This window comes from Homo sapiens, chromosome 19, assembly GCF_000001405.40.
Source record: "Homo sapiens chromosome 19, GRCh38.p14 Primary Assembly".
NCBI lineage: Eukaryota > Metazoa > Chordata > Mammalia > Primates > Hominidae > Homo > Homo sapiens.
Window position 1 is genome coordinate 35548209 of NC_000019.10, and position 16416 is coordinate 35564624.

General features: G+C 57.5%; 1 protein-coding gene across 1 annotated transcript, besides 4 other annotated features; it reads right to left on the reverse strand.

The window, feature by feature from the left end:
• Positions 1 to 1822: 1822 nt before the first annotated feature.
• Positions 1823 to 15450, reverse strand: ATP4A (ATPase H+/K+ transporting subunit alpha). Its single transcript, NM_000704.3, has 22 exons — positions 15410 to 15450; positions 15176 to 15319; positions 15001 to 15060; positions 14227 to 14430; positions 12611 to 12724; positions 12155 to 12407; positions 11597 to 11865; positions 10785 to 10983; positions 10369 to 10478; positions 10154 to 10288; positions 9447 to 9639; positions 8705 to 8880; positions 7468 to 7604; positions 7232 to 7382; positions 6958 to 7126; positions 6714 to 6868; positions 5498 to 5621; positions 4829 to 4974; positions 3239 to 3372; positions 2802 to 2903; positions 2626 to 2717; positions 1823 to 2435 (listed from the first exon to the last, which is right to left on the reverse strand). Exons 1-22 carry the CDS (start codon positions 15419 to 15421, stop codon positions 2407 to 2409), a joined length of 3108 nt encoding a protein of 1035 aa, NP_000695.2. The 5' UTR covers positions 15422 to 15450; the 3' UTR covers positions 1823 to 2406.
• Positions 9728 to 9817: an enhancer, noted in NCBI's record as "active region_14484". NCBI's record gives its function as "activates an Ori minimal core promoter by ATAC-STARR-seq in GM12878 lymphoblastoid cells {active_cell/tissue: GM12878}" and the evidence as "EXISTENCE:reporter gene assay evidence [ECO:0000049][PMID:35858748]".
• Positions 9887 to 10502: an enhancer, noted in NCBI's record as "H3K27ac-H3K4me1 hESC enhancer chr19:36048997-36049612 (GRCh37/hg19 assembly coordinates)". NCBI's record gives its function as "activates a minimal SCP1, AML or CMV promoter by ChIP-STARR-seq in naive H9 embryonic stem cells {active_cell/tissue: H9 hESC(naive)}" and the evidence as "EXISTENCE:reporter gene assay evidence [ECO:0000049][PMID:30033119]".
• Positions 10078 to 10177: a silencer, noted in NCBI's record as "silent region_10529". NCBI's record gives its function as "represses an Ori minimal core promoter by ATAC-STARR-seq in GM12878 lymphoblastoid cells {active_cell/tissue: GM12878}" and the evidence as "EXISTENCE:reporter gene assay evidence [ECO:0000049][PMID:35858748]".
• Positions 10957 to 11056: an enhancer, noted in NCBI's record as "active region_14485". NCBI's record gives its function as "activates an Ori minimal core promoter by ATAC-STARR-seq in GM12878 lymphoblastoid cells {active_cell/tissue: GM12878}" and the evidence as "EXISTENCE:reporter gene assay evidence [ECO:0000049][PMID:35858748]".
• Positions 15451 to 16416: the final 966 nt, after the last annotated feature.

Genomic DNA, 16416 nt, shown 5'->3' on the forward strand with positions numbered 1-16416 from the left:
CAGCCAAGAAGCAGAGCAGTGGGGCCCCCAGCTTGGACATTGTCCTGGATGCCCCCCTCCACCCTCAGCCTTCCTTGGTCCACTGAAGCCGGCTCCCCGCCTTTCTCTGAGGGGGATGTGTCAGAAGTTTTGAATGTCATGTTTAAGCTCCACTTTGATGTACACCCTCCCCACTCAGGAAGATGCTCCCCATCCTTGGTGTTCCCAGTGGGGTACCCCAGGGAGTAGGATAGCACCATTGCCCCTCCTCCTCCACCAGGCCGTTGAAGTTCCACCTGATTTTTTTTAAGCTTAGGCCTAGGAAAGCTCACTATGACCATCTCGATGTTTCCAGAGGGAGCATTTGCCTTCAGACGGCAGCTGCCATCTAGGCCACTCTTCCTCATTGTTTGGAGTAAAGACAGGGTCCATGGGTCTCTTGGGAGCTGGAAGTGATTGATCACCTTGACTTTGATGTAGAAAGGAAGTAGATGGGGCAGTCTATCTGGGTGGACTTGTGACAAGGTCACTTTCTCCCACACTTCCATGCCCCACATAGCTCTTCACACATATTGAGACAAGTGTAGGATGCAAAATTACCAACTGGAATAATCCCAGCTTACATGGGGTTCAGGGAGAGAGACTGGAGTGGCTGGGCCTGAGTTGGCAGAGGACGGTGAAGCCTGGGCGGTTGGACTGTGGGGAGCCAGGCTTCAGGTGATCGGGGTTATGATGGGAAAACCCCGGGTTATGGGGACCCAGAGGAGCCGCCTGGCCTGCCGTGGAAGCAGTGCGGGCTCCCCTGAGCAGAGGACATGTGAGCTGAGACCTAAAGAATGAGTGATTGGGGCAAGGCAGAGGTAATGGTCTTGAGGTCAGAGAGGGGGCCTGTTTTTCCCAAGGGAACATAACTGGTTGGAATGAGTTCAAGGGGACTTGTAAGACTACAGAAGCTGGCAGGGGTCAGATCACAGGAGGCTTTGGGAACCAAGGAGAGCTCTAGGCAGAGGAAGGACAGGGTCAGATTTGGCTTTAGGAAGCTCTGCATGGCTGTTGTCTGAAATGGGAAAGCTGAGGCCACGAGGCCAGGGCTGGACCAGGGCAGGGCTTTGTGGGGTTAGGAGAGTGACTAGAAGCCAAGCCCAGGTGTTGGTGATCAGTGGCTGTGTGTATTTATTTACCGGCAGGGGGCGCTAACAGGTAAGGGAGGAGCAAAGAGTTCCAGGATAACTGGAGTTTGGGGCTTGTAAGCCCGAGGGCTCACCACGTTTCCAAGGGAGAAGGGACCACACTGATGGGACAGTGGGACTATCAGATTGGGTCAGTGCATGGGTACAGGCATGGGGGGTGATGAAGAGGCCAGTGTAGGTCACCAACACTGGGGGAAGCTGGGGACAGAGGTGGGTCTCACTGCAGAAACAACTGAAGCCATGGGGGACTGGGGGGCTGTGGTCACAAGGAAGGAGAAGCCCAGGCCCTAGCCAGAGAAAGCCACATAAGAAAGAGGAAGAGAGGTGAACAGAGGGGCTGGGAAAGGAGCGGCAGAGATGGGAGGTAGGGGGATGGGGTTAACCTTTCAGGTGAGGGGTGTGAGGAGGGGACCTCCAGGAGTTGTTCAGGAACTGGCCATTGCCGGGACAGAGGAGTAAGCAGGTAGGCTCAGAAAGGAGACACCGCTGGGGGGTGGGGGATGCTTGATGTGGAAATGACTTGGGCCCCCTTGTGTCTGGGAGCCTCCAGGAGGGAGAAGGGTGCTGAGAACAGAGAAAGCCCAGAGGTGGTAGGGGGTGCCTATCGCCACGGCCCAGCTTGCGTTTAGATGCCATGACCCTGGGCAAAGGAATAGGAATCATTTCCCCAAGGCAGGTTTATTGAGGACCTACTATGTGCCAGGCTGTGTACTAGGCACTGGAGGTGCAGCCCTGGATAAACAGCCCCCATGTACAGGACTGTGGGAGATCACAAGCACTAATGAGAGACGCTGAGGACAGTGCCTGGCACCAGATACAGCACAGTCAGCATGAGCTGGTTTTATTACCATCGCCCAGGACACAAGCGTGTCTTTAACGAAGGGCCCTCAGGCAGCCGTCCAGCCTGGACTGGAGTCCTAAGAACAGAAACACCCTCCAGAAGCGGTCAGCTGTACTCCCTGTCAGAGCCCCACCGCCACCACAGGTGGCGGCTTTCCCGAGGCCAGCCCAGAGGACTGCCCAGGCGCTGCTGCTCCAGGAGGTGCGAACCTTGGGAATGGGGGAGGGGAGTGGGCAGGTCCCTCCAAGTTTGGGGTGCCGTGGGCTACAGAAGCAGATACTGGTGGGGCTGGGACTCTTGGTTGCTCAGATATCTTGGTGGCTGTCCAGAGGGTCCCACGAGCCCTGCCCCCACCTGCTGTGGCAGTTGCAGGGATGCTTGAAGGCAGTCGTCCCTCTAATAGTAGAGTTCCTGGTCCCACCAGCCTGGGAGAGAGAGGGAGAAAGGAGACTCAGTGCTGGGGGTGCCACTTAGGCAGGGCCAGGGGCTCAGAGGTCAGTGCTGGTTGCTATGGAGGGTCAAGGGCTTAGAGGCCAAGTGTTGAGGATCAAAGGTGGGTGCAGCTGCTCAAACGTTTCAGTCCCCTGCCCCCAGGCTCCCAGTCTCCACACTCACTCCCTGGGCAACAGCGAACTCCAAGCTTCCGGATCTCATCATAGACGAAGATGAGGATGCCGTAGGGCAGGGGGACCAGCCACCACTGGAACCTGAAGGCACATGGCAAGGTGAAGGCCATCCCAGGCCTGTGCCCTACAGCCCCCTCCCTGTCCTTGCCCCTCACAGCCTCTCACCGAATGGGCATGAAGTTGAAGATGTTGGGCATGCCGGGGCAGTAGCACAGGAAGCAGCCGATGCAGACCTGGAACACGATGGCGATCACCAGGATCTTATTCCTGGGGGTGGGCAGAATGGGACAGGCCATTAGGAATTGGGGACGTGATGGAAATCAGGATACTGTGGGTCAAAGTAGGTCAGATGTCAGCAGCAGCAGGGAGGTGTTCTACACACTGAACACTGGAGTGGCCCGGGCCTCTCAGCACCACCCCTTTAGTGAAATGTGGAGGGGGCCGTGGGGGGAGTTATTGGCCAGTTAGAAAGGTTTTTTTGGCATGTCACCATCTGGCACTGGCACCCGCTGGCATTTGCCGGCTGTTCTAAACCACAGTCAGGATCTGATGGGAGTTGGGACCAGGGGTTGGAGGGCAGGAAGAGGGCCAGCCAGGGACACCTGAAGAAGCCTTGCTGGAAGGCAGAGAGACGGCGCGTCTTGCGGATGAGGACATCGGCGATCTGGCACACCTCAATGCTGATGAAGAACACGGTGTAGCAGGTGTACTGCTGGTACAGGCGCTGCCCGAATGTCTGCAGGCCAGGGGCAAACGGAAACAGCCTGAGTCCAGCCTGAGTCCCGGCGGAGAGCCTCTGCAGCCCACCGGGCATAGGGTCCCAGGGCCGTGAACCCCTAAATGCTCTCTCTGCCTTGCATCAGAGTGTGGGGGTGGGGGGAAGGAGAGAGGCAGGGTCTGCCAGGTGTGCAGGACCCCAGAACGTGGGGCCCAGAAACCTCAGCCTAGCAGAGCTTGGATGACAGTGGCCGGGAAAACTGTAGGCTGGGCCGACTGCTTTCATAGTGAAAGGGGGGAGGCACCCAAAAGAAAGGGCCTGGGAAAGGGGAATTGAAATCCTCAGATGGGATTTGCAAAGTCCAGTGACTCCAGGGGCCAGGCAGATGGCAAAAATAGGTGAGGCAGTCACCGCGGGCCTTTGGGAAAAGAGGGCAGATGCCCCATTTAAAGGGGGCAGCCACTATGCAGCCCATTTCTTCAACACAGCTACTTTTTTTTTTGAGATGGAATCTCGCTCTGTCACCCAGGCTGGAGTGCAGTGGTGCAATCTCAGCTCACTGCAACTTCCGAATCCCAGGTTCAGGAGATTCTCCTGCCTTAGCCTCCCAAGTAGCTGGAATTACAAGCATGTGCCACCATGCCTGGCAACACAACTCCTAATACCAGCTAACTGTGGGGATCACTGACTGCTCCAGGTGCCGAGTGTTGCACGTGCATTAGCTCATTTAATCCGCTGGGTAACCCTAGGAGGTAAATCAGTGGTGCTGGAACTTGAACATGCATGAGAATCCCAGCAAGGGCTCCCAGAGGGCTGGGATAGAGCCTGAGAATTTGCACTGCAAACATGTTCCCAGGAGATGGTGATGCTGCTGGTCTGGGAGCAAACTGAAAACCACTGAGGTAGACTTTGATATTCTCTCCACTTTGCAGGTGAGAAAACAGGCACAGAGAGGCAAAGCAACCTGCCCAGGGTTACACAGCTTGTGAGAAGCAGTACCAGACCATAAGTCCAGGCAGTCTGGCTTCAGTGTCTACCTTAACCATGATAGTAAATGTTTAAGGGAAGTATCCTCGTCTGTATGTAACTCTACAGGTGAACTAAACACATCTGCTGGCCAGATCTAGCCTCACTGTGCTCCAAACCTTCATTAAAATAGACCACATGTGCAAATACCCTGTGGGAGTGATGCTGTAGGGAAAATAGCAGAATAGGGGCCTGGTTCCACATCTGAGATGATGCATTAGTGTCAGGGCAGAGACACCCATCTGCAGTTGCGATCATCAGAAGCAGGAGTTTGGAGCTGGAGATGGTGGGAAAGGCCCTTGCCCCCCCGAACTGGCAGGGAGTCTGGGGGTCCGGGATGCTCTGGCTGAACTCAGTCACACGTGGAGGAACAAGTGGGCCGCACACAAGGCAAGTTGCCCTGGGAAGGAGGGAGCCCAGGGATGGGATGGGGCGGGGCAGGGCTCACCCACTCCTGGCCGTAGCTGTCCTGCAGATCTTGTAGGTGGTGGTCCTCCCACTGCGCCCGCAGCCCCACGCACAGCAGTGGGAACCAGCCCTCCTGGGCCATTGCCGTGAAGTAGTCAGTGAAGCCAGCAAAGGACTGAATGGCACCTGGAGAGAGACAAGGGGACACAGGGAGACAGAGATGGACACAGAGACAGGGACACAGGAAGAGAGGGACATGGAGAGACAGGGACACAGATACACAAAGGTCAAGGACACACAGACAGGGACACGGGAAGAGAGACAGGGACACAGATACACAAGGTCAAGGACACACAGAGCCAGGGACACAGAAACAGTGACAGAGACACAGAGGCAGAGAGAGAAGCAGGGACAGAGAGACAGAGGCAGGGACAGAGAGAAAAAGACACATCCAGGACCCAAAAAGACAGAAATAGGCAACAACTCAGAGACAGGGTCATGGAGAGCAAGGTCAGAGAGAGAGCAGGGACACAGCAGAACCAGAGAGACTGTCACAAACAGAGAGGGACACGGAGGACAACGGAGACCCAGGACCAAATGCAGACACTGAGGTCCAGAACCAGCCGGAGCCCAAGGCAGGGCCTGGGGCAGGCGAGCAGCCCAGCGCAGAGCCCCCCACCTCCAGGCTCCCCGGCCCACGGGCACCCACCAATCTGGAAGTAGGAGTAGGCAGCCAGGGGCTCGTTGACCAATCTGTCACGCTTTGGGTTGCGTGGACGCAGGTGCATGATGTCACTCTCGGCCTTTTCATATGCCAGGGACACAGATGGGAACTGGCCAGGAGTGGAAGGAACTGGGACTGAGGGTTTGGCTGGGCCCTTGTCCCCTCCACTTCGGGTCCCCCTTCCCCCACTTGTGAGCAGGAACAGGACTGAGGTTAGCAGGCAGGACCTGCAGGGACGGCACAGCCACACCAGCCTGGACAGCCTGGGCCCCACTGGCCCCTGGGTGTTGGCATCCTGGTGCCCATCTTCGTAAGAACATCTGCTTTTATCTTCTCCCTCTGTCTCCCTCCCTCTCTTTCTCTGTTCCTCACTCTGTTTCTCTGTCCCTGTCTCCAGTGTAATTCTCTGTGACTGTATCTGCTCTTGTGTATTTCTGTGTCACTCCCTATCTCTGTGTATCTTCAGTCTCTCAGTGTCGCCGTGCCCCTTCATCTGCTTGTGCCTAGAGTGGCAGCAGAGCATACTGACCACGACCACAGGCTGTGGGACCTGTGACTGCTCAAGCTCAAGTCACAGCCGGGCCACTTATTTGCCCAGTGACCTGGGACAATCCACTCTACCTGTCTATGCCTTGATGAGCTCATCAGTAAAGTACGGGTGATAGTAACAAAACTCATCTCATAGTGTGGTTATGAGTACAAAATTAAGGAAATGATGGTGTGTCTGGCCCAGAGAAAGCACTGTGTAAATGTTACCGAATAAATACCTGTCAACACAGCTGCGCCTCTGGCTGCATTCGTGACTGTATCTGTGGTTCTTTTCTGTCTGTCTGCCATGGGGTCTATCTGAGGGGGTTTATTTGTCCGTGTCTGTTTAGGGGCACGTGTCTGTGATTCAAGTTTGGCCAGATACCTGTTCTGTTTCCATCTCTGTCTGAGTATCTGTATCTGAGTCATGTGTGTGCATGGGTCGGCCCGGGCCTACCTGAGTGTCCGCCTGTGTGTGCATGGCTGTATGTCCATTTAGGTCTGTTCACCTGCCTGCCACCCATGTGTCCTGCACTGGCTGTCATTGCACACACAGGTCTTGTCTGTCACTCTGTGCCCAAGAGTGTCTGTGGTGGTCTCTGTCCCTCCTGTCCATCTGCAAGCAAGTGTCTCTGGGCACCCTGTGGATGGGTACCCTGGGCTGTGGACTTACAATGTCAGTGCAGAGTTCGATGAAGAGGATGGTGATGCACCCGAGGGGCAGGGGCACGCTGACGGTGATGTAGATGAGGTAGGGTGTCAGCTCTGGGATGTTCTTGGTCAATGTGTAGGCAATAGACTTCTTCAGGTTGTCGAAGATCAGTCGACCTGTGGGGTAGGGTGGGCACCTCAGCCTCCTCACAGCCCTCTCCCTCCTGTGCCCACACTGCCTGCCCTCCCCCTGGCGTGGCTCGGACCCTGCTCCACGCCTGTCACAATGGAGGCAAAGTTGTCATCCAGCAGGATCATGTCAGCTGCATTTTTGGCAGCATCTGAGCCAGCGATGCCCATGGCTACTCCGATGTCTGCCTTCTTCAGAGCTGGGGAGTCATTCACACCATCCCCCGTGACGGCCACAATCGCACCCTGCAGGCAGTGGGTGCAGGTGGTGGGTGGGTGGTCAGTGAGAGGCCGGTCCAAGACCAGCCCCGCCTGTCTGCCCGCCTGCCCACCCTCATCAGCAGGGCTCACCAGCCGCTGGCAGCTCTCCACGATCACCAGCTTCTGCTGGGGGCTGGTGCGCGCAAACACCATCTCGGGGTGGGTGCGCAGGGCCTCGACCAGTTCCGATGGGTCCATGTCCTTCAGCTGCATGCCATTGATCACACAGGCACGGGCATCCCTGGGGAGGAGATGGGAGGACCTCGCTGGGACCTCGGTCTGTGCCAGATGTGGGGAGAACCCCGGGGAGGTCTGGGGGGGCTTACTTGCGATTAACCTGGTCTACGGGCACACGGAGGCGGGCAGCGATGTCCTCCACTGTCTCGCTGCCTTCCGAGATGATGCCCACACTGGCTGCAATGGCCTTGGCGGTGATGGGGTGGTCACCCGTTACCATGATCACCTGTAGGGGGAACCAGTGGATCACTGACCCCTTCAGATCAGCCCAATCTCCCTGTCCTCCCTGGGAGACATCTGCTGATACACGTGTTCATTTACTTGACCAAGCGTGACCACCTCCTACGTGCCTGGGATATAGCAGAGACAAAAGAGACAAAAATCCCTGTCCTTGAGGAGCTCTAGTGAGGGTGACAGAAAATAAAGAAACGAATTATATAGTGTGTTAGAAAGTGGAAAAAAACATATTAAGCTTGGTGAAGGAAACGGTGACTCGATTTTAAGTGTACCCAGGGAAGGGCTTATTGAGAAGGTGATATCTGAGCAGAGACCTGTAAGAGGTGAGAGAGTCAGCCACGTGGAAAGCTGGGAGAAGAGTGCTCCTGGCAGGGAGAACAGCAGGTGCAAAGGCCCTGAGGTGAGGACAGGCCCGAACTGTCGGAGGAACAGCAGGGAGGACACCATAACTGCAGAGGAGTGAACAAGGAAAGAGGGCTAACGAACAAGCTTAGAAAGGTAACAAGGCCCGATGTAACAGGGCCGTAGAGACACGGGAAGGGCTTGGGCATTGCCTGCCTGGCCTTGGCTTTCCCACCCTTGTTTTGTGTTTGGGGAACCACTCCTCTCCCCTACACCATCAGTTGCAGTGAGGTCCCTGGCTAAGATTGGGTAAGTAAGCCCAGACCTGGCCAATCAAGGTCTTCCATCCCCCAGCCCCAGTGACTGGCTCAGGGATAAATGAGTGACCCAATCCAGTGCTACTGCAAAAGAGGCACTCTCTTTTTGTGGGGTGGCTAAGCAGGTGGGAGTTAAGTTTGAGCTGCTGGAGCAGGGGTGTGTGTGTCCCCAAGTGAAGGGAGTGCCTGCAAATAAAGCCAGCAAAGAGAACAGCAGAGCTGAGACATGGAGAAAGGAAAATTCCTAATGACACTGAGCTCCTGGATCTGGCTAGACCTGAAGCTTAATTCCCCAGAATTTTTCAGTATCATAAACCAATGCATTTTGGTTCAAGCCAGTTTCAGGTGGGTTTGTCATGGGGTTCTTCAACCCAAATCCTGCTGCCATCCTCTGTCCTCACTCCACTTGTTCCTCCCCACAGTGGCATACCCGGATGCCTGCGGTGCGACACTTGAGCACAGCATCAGGGACGGTGGCCCGGGGTGGGTCAATCATGGATACAAGTCCCGCAAAGCAGAGGCCGCTAGATGGAAAGTTCATGGCCTCTACGTCGAAGGCATAGCCAGGCGGGTAGTCCTTCTCATTCAGGTAGAGCTGGCAGAAGCCTGACCGGAAACGGGGAAGTCAGGGAAGAGCCCTGGGCACACCCTTTCTTAGCAGGGCCAGGAAATGGGTAAAATAACCAGGCCCCTTGCACCAAACACCTATGGATGCCTGACCTTGTGCTGACCCCTTCACTCACATTATCTGAATCTACCCTCACAACCACCCTGTGAGGCCCATTCTCATCTTACAGATGAGGAAACTGAGGCTCAGAGAGGGGACATTTCTTGCCAGAGGTCACACAGCAAGTAAAAGGCCCAGAATTGGACCACAGATCTGCTTTCTAGGGTAGAGGCAGCGAAGTTTAAGGCGTCAGGACAAAAATTGGGAGAGGTTAGAGGTCAGGATACGGATAAAAGTCCAGGTGAGGACTGGGGTCAAGGTAGAAAGTGAGGACAGACAGGGGTCAGGACTGGTACAGGGAAAGTCAAGGGTGAGGCTGTGGACTGCGACAAATCAGCCAGCAGCCAGGGATGAGGACGGTCAGGGCTGGGCCGGGAGTGGTGGGCAGGGTCTGTGCTAGCTCCTCCTCGCACCTGGAGTCTCCTCCCCTGCCCAGGGGTCTCACCGAGCACGCGTTCGCCCAGGCCTCCCAGGCTGAGGTAGGCGGTCTGGAAGGCCTCGCGCCACTGCTCGTCCAGCGGCAGCTCCTGGCCCTTGATAAGGATGGAGCTGCAGCGCTCCAGCACGCGCTCGGGGGCGCCCTTCATCACCAGCAAGTGTCGCGGGTCCCGCGGGTCCTCCAGCGTATGGATGGACAGCTGTGGGCGGGGGGGAGAGGCGAGGCTGTGGACGGGGGAACGGGGCGGGGCTGTGGACGAGGGAACGGGGCGGGGCTGAGGAGAGGGGCGGGGCCGAGAGCTCGGTGCGGGCTCTGAGAGCTGCGGGGAAGGGTGAAGGTGGAAGATGGAGGCCTTGTGTGGAGGGGTCCTTGGTAGAAGGTAAGCGTTAAGGCGGGGCTAGGTGCAGATTTGGAGTCCTGGACGCAGGGAATGAACAGAATTAGGGTGCGGAGTTGGGCTGGGGGCGGATTTGGAGAGCGAGGTGCTCCCCATGGACAGTCCCGCCGAGGAGAAGCTGTGGGCGGGGCTGGGTGGTGGGCGGGGCCTTGCCTCTGGTGGACGGGGCCATAGGCGGAGCGGGAGATGGGGTGGGGTTTGGCTGCGGAGAGAAGGGGCAAGGAGCGAAGCCCCTCGTGGCCCGCTGATGTGGGTGTGGCCTGGGGCGGGGCCCGAGGTGGGCGGGCCCAGGCCGTGGGCGGGGCCGGCTGCGCACCTGGAACTTGTTGGTGGAGTTGAAGGGTATCTCGCAGACTTTTGGGAAGCGGTCCCGGTAGCCCATGGCGTTGCCCAGCGTCAGCTCCGAGAACTTGAGCAGCGCCGTCTCCGATGCGTCTCCAATCACGATGCGCTGGGAGCGGGGACCGGTGTCAGGGGCGAAGCCGGCTACACCAGCCTCCCGGGATTCCCTGGAGGCCCCCTGGCTCTCACCTTGGGCACAGGCACTGCATCCTGGCCGGACTTGAAGGCGGCGCGGTTGCACAGGGTGAGCACCCGGCACAGCGCCCGCCACGTCTCCGAGGACTGGTCAAACGTCTGCCCTGCAGACCAGGCGTCCAGGCTGGGTCCCGCACGGCGGCTCTCCCGGACCAGAACCGAGCCCCCTCCTCCTAGGCTCATATCGCGGGCCCCCTCCCCAGACCTGGGTGGAATTGGGTTCCACCCAACCCTGAGGGACCCAGCCCCCGGATGACCCTTCCCTCTAGACCCGGTAGCGAGTCTCCTTTGAGACCTGGAGCCGAGCCGCCCCGCCTTCGTACAAAGCCCTCCCTACCTCCCTATCCCTCTTCAGGTCTCCACCATCCACCAGATCCTGCCCTGGCGCCTGTGCCCTCCCTCCCCCACACCTGACTGGTCTTCCGTGGTGTCAGCTGTGTGGATGTGGTTGTCAAACCACAGATGGGACACAGTCATGCGGTTCTGAGTGAGAGTCCCTGTCTTGTCCGAGCAGATCACCGAAGTGGAGCCCAATGTCTCCACCGCCTCCAGGTTCTTGACCACGCAGTTCTTACTGGCCAGGCGCTTGGCTGTCAGGGACAGGCAGACCTGGGGAAGGGGTGAGCACCGCAGGCTGGGGACCCACCCTGGCTTCCAGTCCTCTTCCCCGCGTCAAAGAACGGGGAAGGCTTTACCCCAGCCGCGGGGCTGCGTGTGCAACGTGCTTCTGCAAACACCAGGTGTTTTCTTGGCCCCAGCTTTTGTTCAGCCAGTGCTTTGTTTGGGACTCCTTCCCCAGTCTGCCCAGATACAGTAGCGAGGCCCCTCTCTGAGCTGTCCCAGCCGAGGTTCTGAAAATTCTCTTCACACAATCAAAATGAGAAGAGGAACCTTCCCCGCACCTCCCTGGGGACTGGTCTGGAGCTGGGTGCTGACTGTGGAAGGTCTGGTGACATGCTGGCTGCCTGCACAGGACATCAGCCTCTTCCAGTTAAGGACCCGGCCTCGTCATCTCTGCGCCCTCAATGTGTGGCACAGGACTTGCCCCAGGGTTGCCTCGGGAAGGACTTGCTGAATGAGTGGATGATGGGAAGGCAGGAGAATGGATGGGAGCTAAGTGGACAGATAGACAGGCAGGGAGGTGATGGGGGAAATGTGGAGGAAAGAACAGATGGTTGAGCAGGCCCCTCAGCTCCCTGCATCCCCGCCTGCCCCCACTCACTGTGACAGTGGCCAGCAGCCCCTCAGGCACATAGGCCACCACGATGGCCATGAAGAAGACCATGGCCCGCAGGAAGGTGTAGCCAATGCACATGGCCACAATAAAAAATGTGGCACCGAAGAGAATGGCCAGGCCCGCGATGATGTCCACAAAATGCTCGATCTCGATAGCGATGGGTGTCTTCTCGTTTTCCACCCCCGACGCCAGCGATGCGATGCGCCCAATGATGGTGCGGTCGCCCGTGTTCACCACCAGGCCCTGCACGGTGCCTGCAGGGGGGCCAAGGCGCGACTCAGGGATAGGGGGCGGCAGTGGGGTGTGCACTGCCGTGTGAGCTGAAGGACAGCCAGTCACTGCCAGTGGAGGATGTGACCTGGGAGAGGGTAGTGACAGTGGGAGACAGAGAAGCAGTGTGCCCTGGGGAGGTGGCAGTCACGGGGAGGTGGCAGTCATGCAGGAGAGAGACAGGGAGGCTGAAGCCCCCTGTCCTAGAAGATAGCAGGAGAGAGGCCAGTGGAGGCAGCAGTTACTGGGCAGGCAGGCGGGGGCTTCACAGACCCTCAAGGCACATGGTGGAGAAGAAGGCGATGTTGCGGGTCTCCAGAGGGCTCTCGTGCGTGCACTCGGGTGAGCGGGTCTGTGGCTCAGACTCCCCTGTCAGCGAGGAGTTGTCCACCTTGCAGCCCTGGGCCGCCAGGATGCGGATGTCGGCGGGCACTCTGTCCCCACCTTTCATCTCCACCAGGTCGCCCACCACCAGTTGGTCAGCGTTGATCTGGAATTTGTCTCCATCGCGGATGACAGTGGCTTGCTGCGGGGCAGGGGCACCAAAGTTGAGGTGGACGGGGGTGGGGGTGGGAGCTGCTGCATGTGGGGAGGTAAAGGATGAGGAGAGCTGGGACCCATGGGGAGAGATGGAGGCCACAGATGAGGGACAGGGGCCTGATGGAAGGAGGCTACAGGAGCAGTTTGGAGTCTCTGGGATCTGGAGTGGCTGGGTGCTGGGGAACCCACCTGTGGCACAAGGTTCTTAAAGCTGGCGATGATGTTGGTGCTCTTGAATTCCTGGTAGTAGCCAAAGCAGCCGGTGACGACAACCACAGCAATGAGAGCGATTGCCAGGTACAGCTGGGGACAGGGAAGGGGTGGGGTTATTCAGAGGGGCCGGAAGCTGCCTGCCTGAGGCCACCGACCTGCTCCCTGGTGCCCTGGTTTTCTTGGTTTTCCCCATGCTTTTCCCCACCTACTAGGAAGCTCCATGCACCATTCCCTGTAGCCTTTAGCCCCCTCCCATGTCCCTCATGTCCCACACTCGCCTGCTCTGTCTTCTCAGTGTCTTGTGTTTCTGTGTATATTTCATATCCTCTGGCCCTGAATCCTCAATCTTCCATGTCCCCATATCTGTGACTTGTGCCCCAAATCACTGTGTGCCTTGGTCTGACGTGTTCCCTTCTCCTGTGTCCCCAAGCCTTGCATTCCCCATGTCCACTGTCCCATGTCTCCTCCTGTCCCCATGGCCTGTATTCCCCGTGTCTCCAGTTTCACATCCTGGGTTTTCCATAATCTGCTGCCACCCTCTGTGTGTCCCCTGGGCCCCCTTGTCCCTGCATCCTCACATCCCCGTCCCTGCGTGTGCTGCAGACCTTGTACGTCATGGTCTGTGTCCTCTGTGGCCACGGCCCCCATGTTCTAGCTCCCCAGTCACTGTGTCCCGTGTCTCCCATGTCTGTGTATCTCCGAGTTCCCATCCTGTGTCCCATGGCCATGACTTTTCGAGCCTCTGTCCCATGTCACATGTCCCTGAGTCCCCATGTCCCTTGCCCTCATCTCTGCCATATGTCCAATGTCCCTTGCCCTGCACCTCCATTTCCTCTCTGTCTCTGTGCTTCTATGTCTCATGTTTTGTGTCTCTCTATGTGCTGTGTCCTGAGGCTTGGGTCCCTGCCCTGGTGTCCTATGTCTGAGTCCCAGGGTCTCCTATTCCCCGTGCCTCAGTCTGTCCTGTGTCTGCACTGCATGTCCTCTGCTTCCAAGTCCCATCTCTTTTTTTTTTTTTTTTTTTTTTTTTTAAGATGCAGTCTCGCTCTGTCGCCCAGGCTGGAGTGCAGTGGCATGGTCTTGGCTCACTGCAACATCCACCTCCTGGGTTCAAATGATTCTCCTGCCTCAGCCTCCCAAGTAACTGGGATTACAGGTGCCCGCCACCATGTCTGGCTAATTTTTGTAATTTTAGTAGAGATGGGGTTTTGCCATGTTGGCCAGGCTGGTCTCGAACTCCTGACCTCAGGTGATCTGCCCGCCTCGGCCTCCCAAAGTGCTGGGATTACAGGCATGGGATTACACGCCCGGCCTCCAAATCCCATCTCTTACGTATCACATTGCCATACTCTTTATGCCCCCACCTATGTCCCCATACCCAAGATTCACCCCAGTGTCCCTGTGTCCTGTGTCCTTGGGTCTGCCCCATCCATATCCCAATGTCCTTCACCCTCCATGACCCCTGTCTTGAGACTGCCTTTCGTGTTCGTCTATCCCCATCCTTCTCTGCCCCTCTTGTCCCAAGTCCCAGGCTCAGTGTCTTCCATCCCCAGGTCCCCATGTCCTGAGCCTGTCCCCACAACATGGCTCACATTGTCGTCGGTGGTGAGGTCCCCCTCACTAGCCTGGATGGCAAAGGCGATGAGGCAGATGGCGGCGGCAACCCACATGAGGCACTGCAGGCCCCCGGCCAGCTGCCTCGCGAACTTGACGTACTCTGGGGTGCCCCGTGGTGGCCGCAGTGCGTTGGGCCCATCCCGCAGCAGCAGCTCAGCAGCCAGGCTCGCAGAGAGGCCCTGGGACAGAGGGGCAGGGCGAGGCGGTCCTGGGGGCTTTCCTCCACATGCACACCCCGTGGAAAGCCCCCTGCTTCAGTTTCCCTTCTCCAGCTTGGTCTGTCCTGCTCCTTCTCATCTCTTTGTCTCTTGGTTCCTGCCCCCACCCCATCTCTCCCTCCCTCCTTCATCTCTCCCTTTGTCTCTCTCTCCTCGCTCCCCTTTCTATGTGTCTCTCTCCTGCTGCTCTCTCCTTATTTGTCTCTGCCTTCTCTGTCTTGCTGTCTCTTTTCAGCTACTCCTCTCTCCGTCTCTGTGTGTCACCCTTTCTCTCTAATGCTTTCTCCCTTCTCTCCCTCTCCCTCTCTCTCCCTCTCTCCATCTCCCTCCCTCTCTCCTCCCCTCCCTCCATCCTTTCCTCTCTCCCTCCCTCCCTCTTTCCTTTTCTGCCTCCCTCCCTCTCTCTATTTCTCCATATCTTCCTCTCTTCATCTCTCCCTCTCTCTCCCTCTCTCCATCTCCCTCCTTCCATCTCCCTCTCCCTCCCTCTCTCCTCCTCCCCTTTCTGTACGCTCCCAGTCTCCAGCTCACCTTGGTGGCACTGGTCTGGTATTTCTGTTCCAGCTCCGCCACTGACAGCTGGTGGTCGTTCTGTGTGGTGGGGTGGGGCAGGGTGCTTGCTCTGGGCTCTCCTGGCCCCCTCCCCGCCCACTGCCTGGTTCCCAGCCTACCCTCCAGCTCCCGCCCCTCCCCAGTCAGAGCTCACAATCTCCATCTCCTTCTTCATGTTCTCCAGCTTCTCCTTCCTCTTGCCACCCCCGCCACCCGCCTTCTTCTTCTTGCTCATCTTGGCAGCCATGTCCCCGCCAGGGCCAGGACCCAGCTCCACCGAGTAGAGCTCATAGTTCTCCTGGGAATGGACAGGATGGAGGGAGGGAGAACTCAGATTCCACTGCAACCCCTGTCCCCACTGCACCCCGGACCCCTGGGCCCCACTCACGGCCTTCCCCATGGTGCCCGGTGCCTGTGCTCCCACCCAACAGAGCCTGGGCCCGGACCAGTCCTGATATACCCAGGGAGGGCGGTGGGGTGGAGCAGAACCGCCCGACCACAGCTGATTACAGGCTCCTTGGGGTGACCTCTAGGCCTGGGCACCTCAGGCATTCCCTCCTGGGCTGGCCCCCCCCTCCCCTGCCCAGATCCCCCCATGTCAACCTGCCCTGAGATCAGGGAGCCCCTGGGAACCGCTGCAGCAACAAGAAGAGCAAACATAAGGTGCTCATTATGCGCTGGGCATTGTGCTGACGGCTTCCATGTGCTAACTTATTTAACCTTCCAATAACCCTTTGAGGGGACAAGACCCTTTACAGATGGGGAAACTGAGGCATGGAGGGGTTGAGTCATTCTCCTATGGCTCCATCACAGGCTAGGACATAATGGAGTGAGAACCAGATCAGCTGGCTGCAGAGTGTCCTCTTTCAGTCTAAATAGCACGTGCCTGATCAACTGGAAGAGGAGGGTGCTCCCACACTCTTTTTTTTTTTCTTTTTTTTTTTGAGATGGAGTGTCACTCTGACACCCAGGTTGGAGTGCAGTGGTGCAATCTCAGCTCGCTGCAACCTCCGCCTCCCGGGTTCAAGTGATTCTCCTGCCTCAGCCTCTTGAGTAGCTGGGACTACAGGCACATGCCACCACACCCAGCTAATTTTTGTACTTTTAGTAGAGACGGGGTTTCACCAGGTTGGCCAGGCTGGTCTCGAACTCCTGACCTCAGGTGATCCACCCGCCTTGGCCTCCCAAAGTGCTGGGATTACAGGCGTGAGCCACCATGCCCTGCCATGCTTACAACACTCTCTATGGTGGCTGAATGTTTACTGAACTCTGACTATTCACTATGGGCTGGGTGTGCTCTGTGTGTCACTCAAATGGTTTCCTTAGCATCTAACAGCAGCCCTGTAAAGCAATATTCTCTTCTTAGCCCCCATCAGGGACTTTGCAGAAGATTTC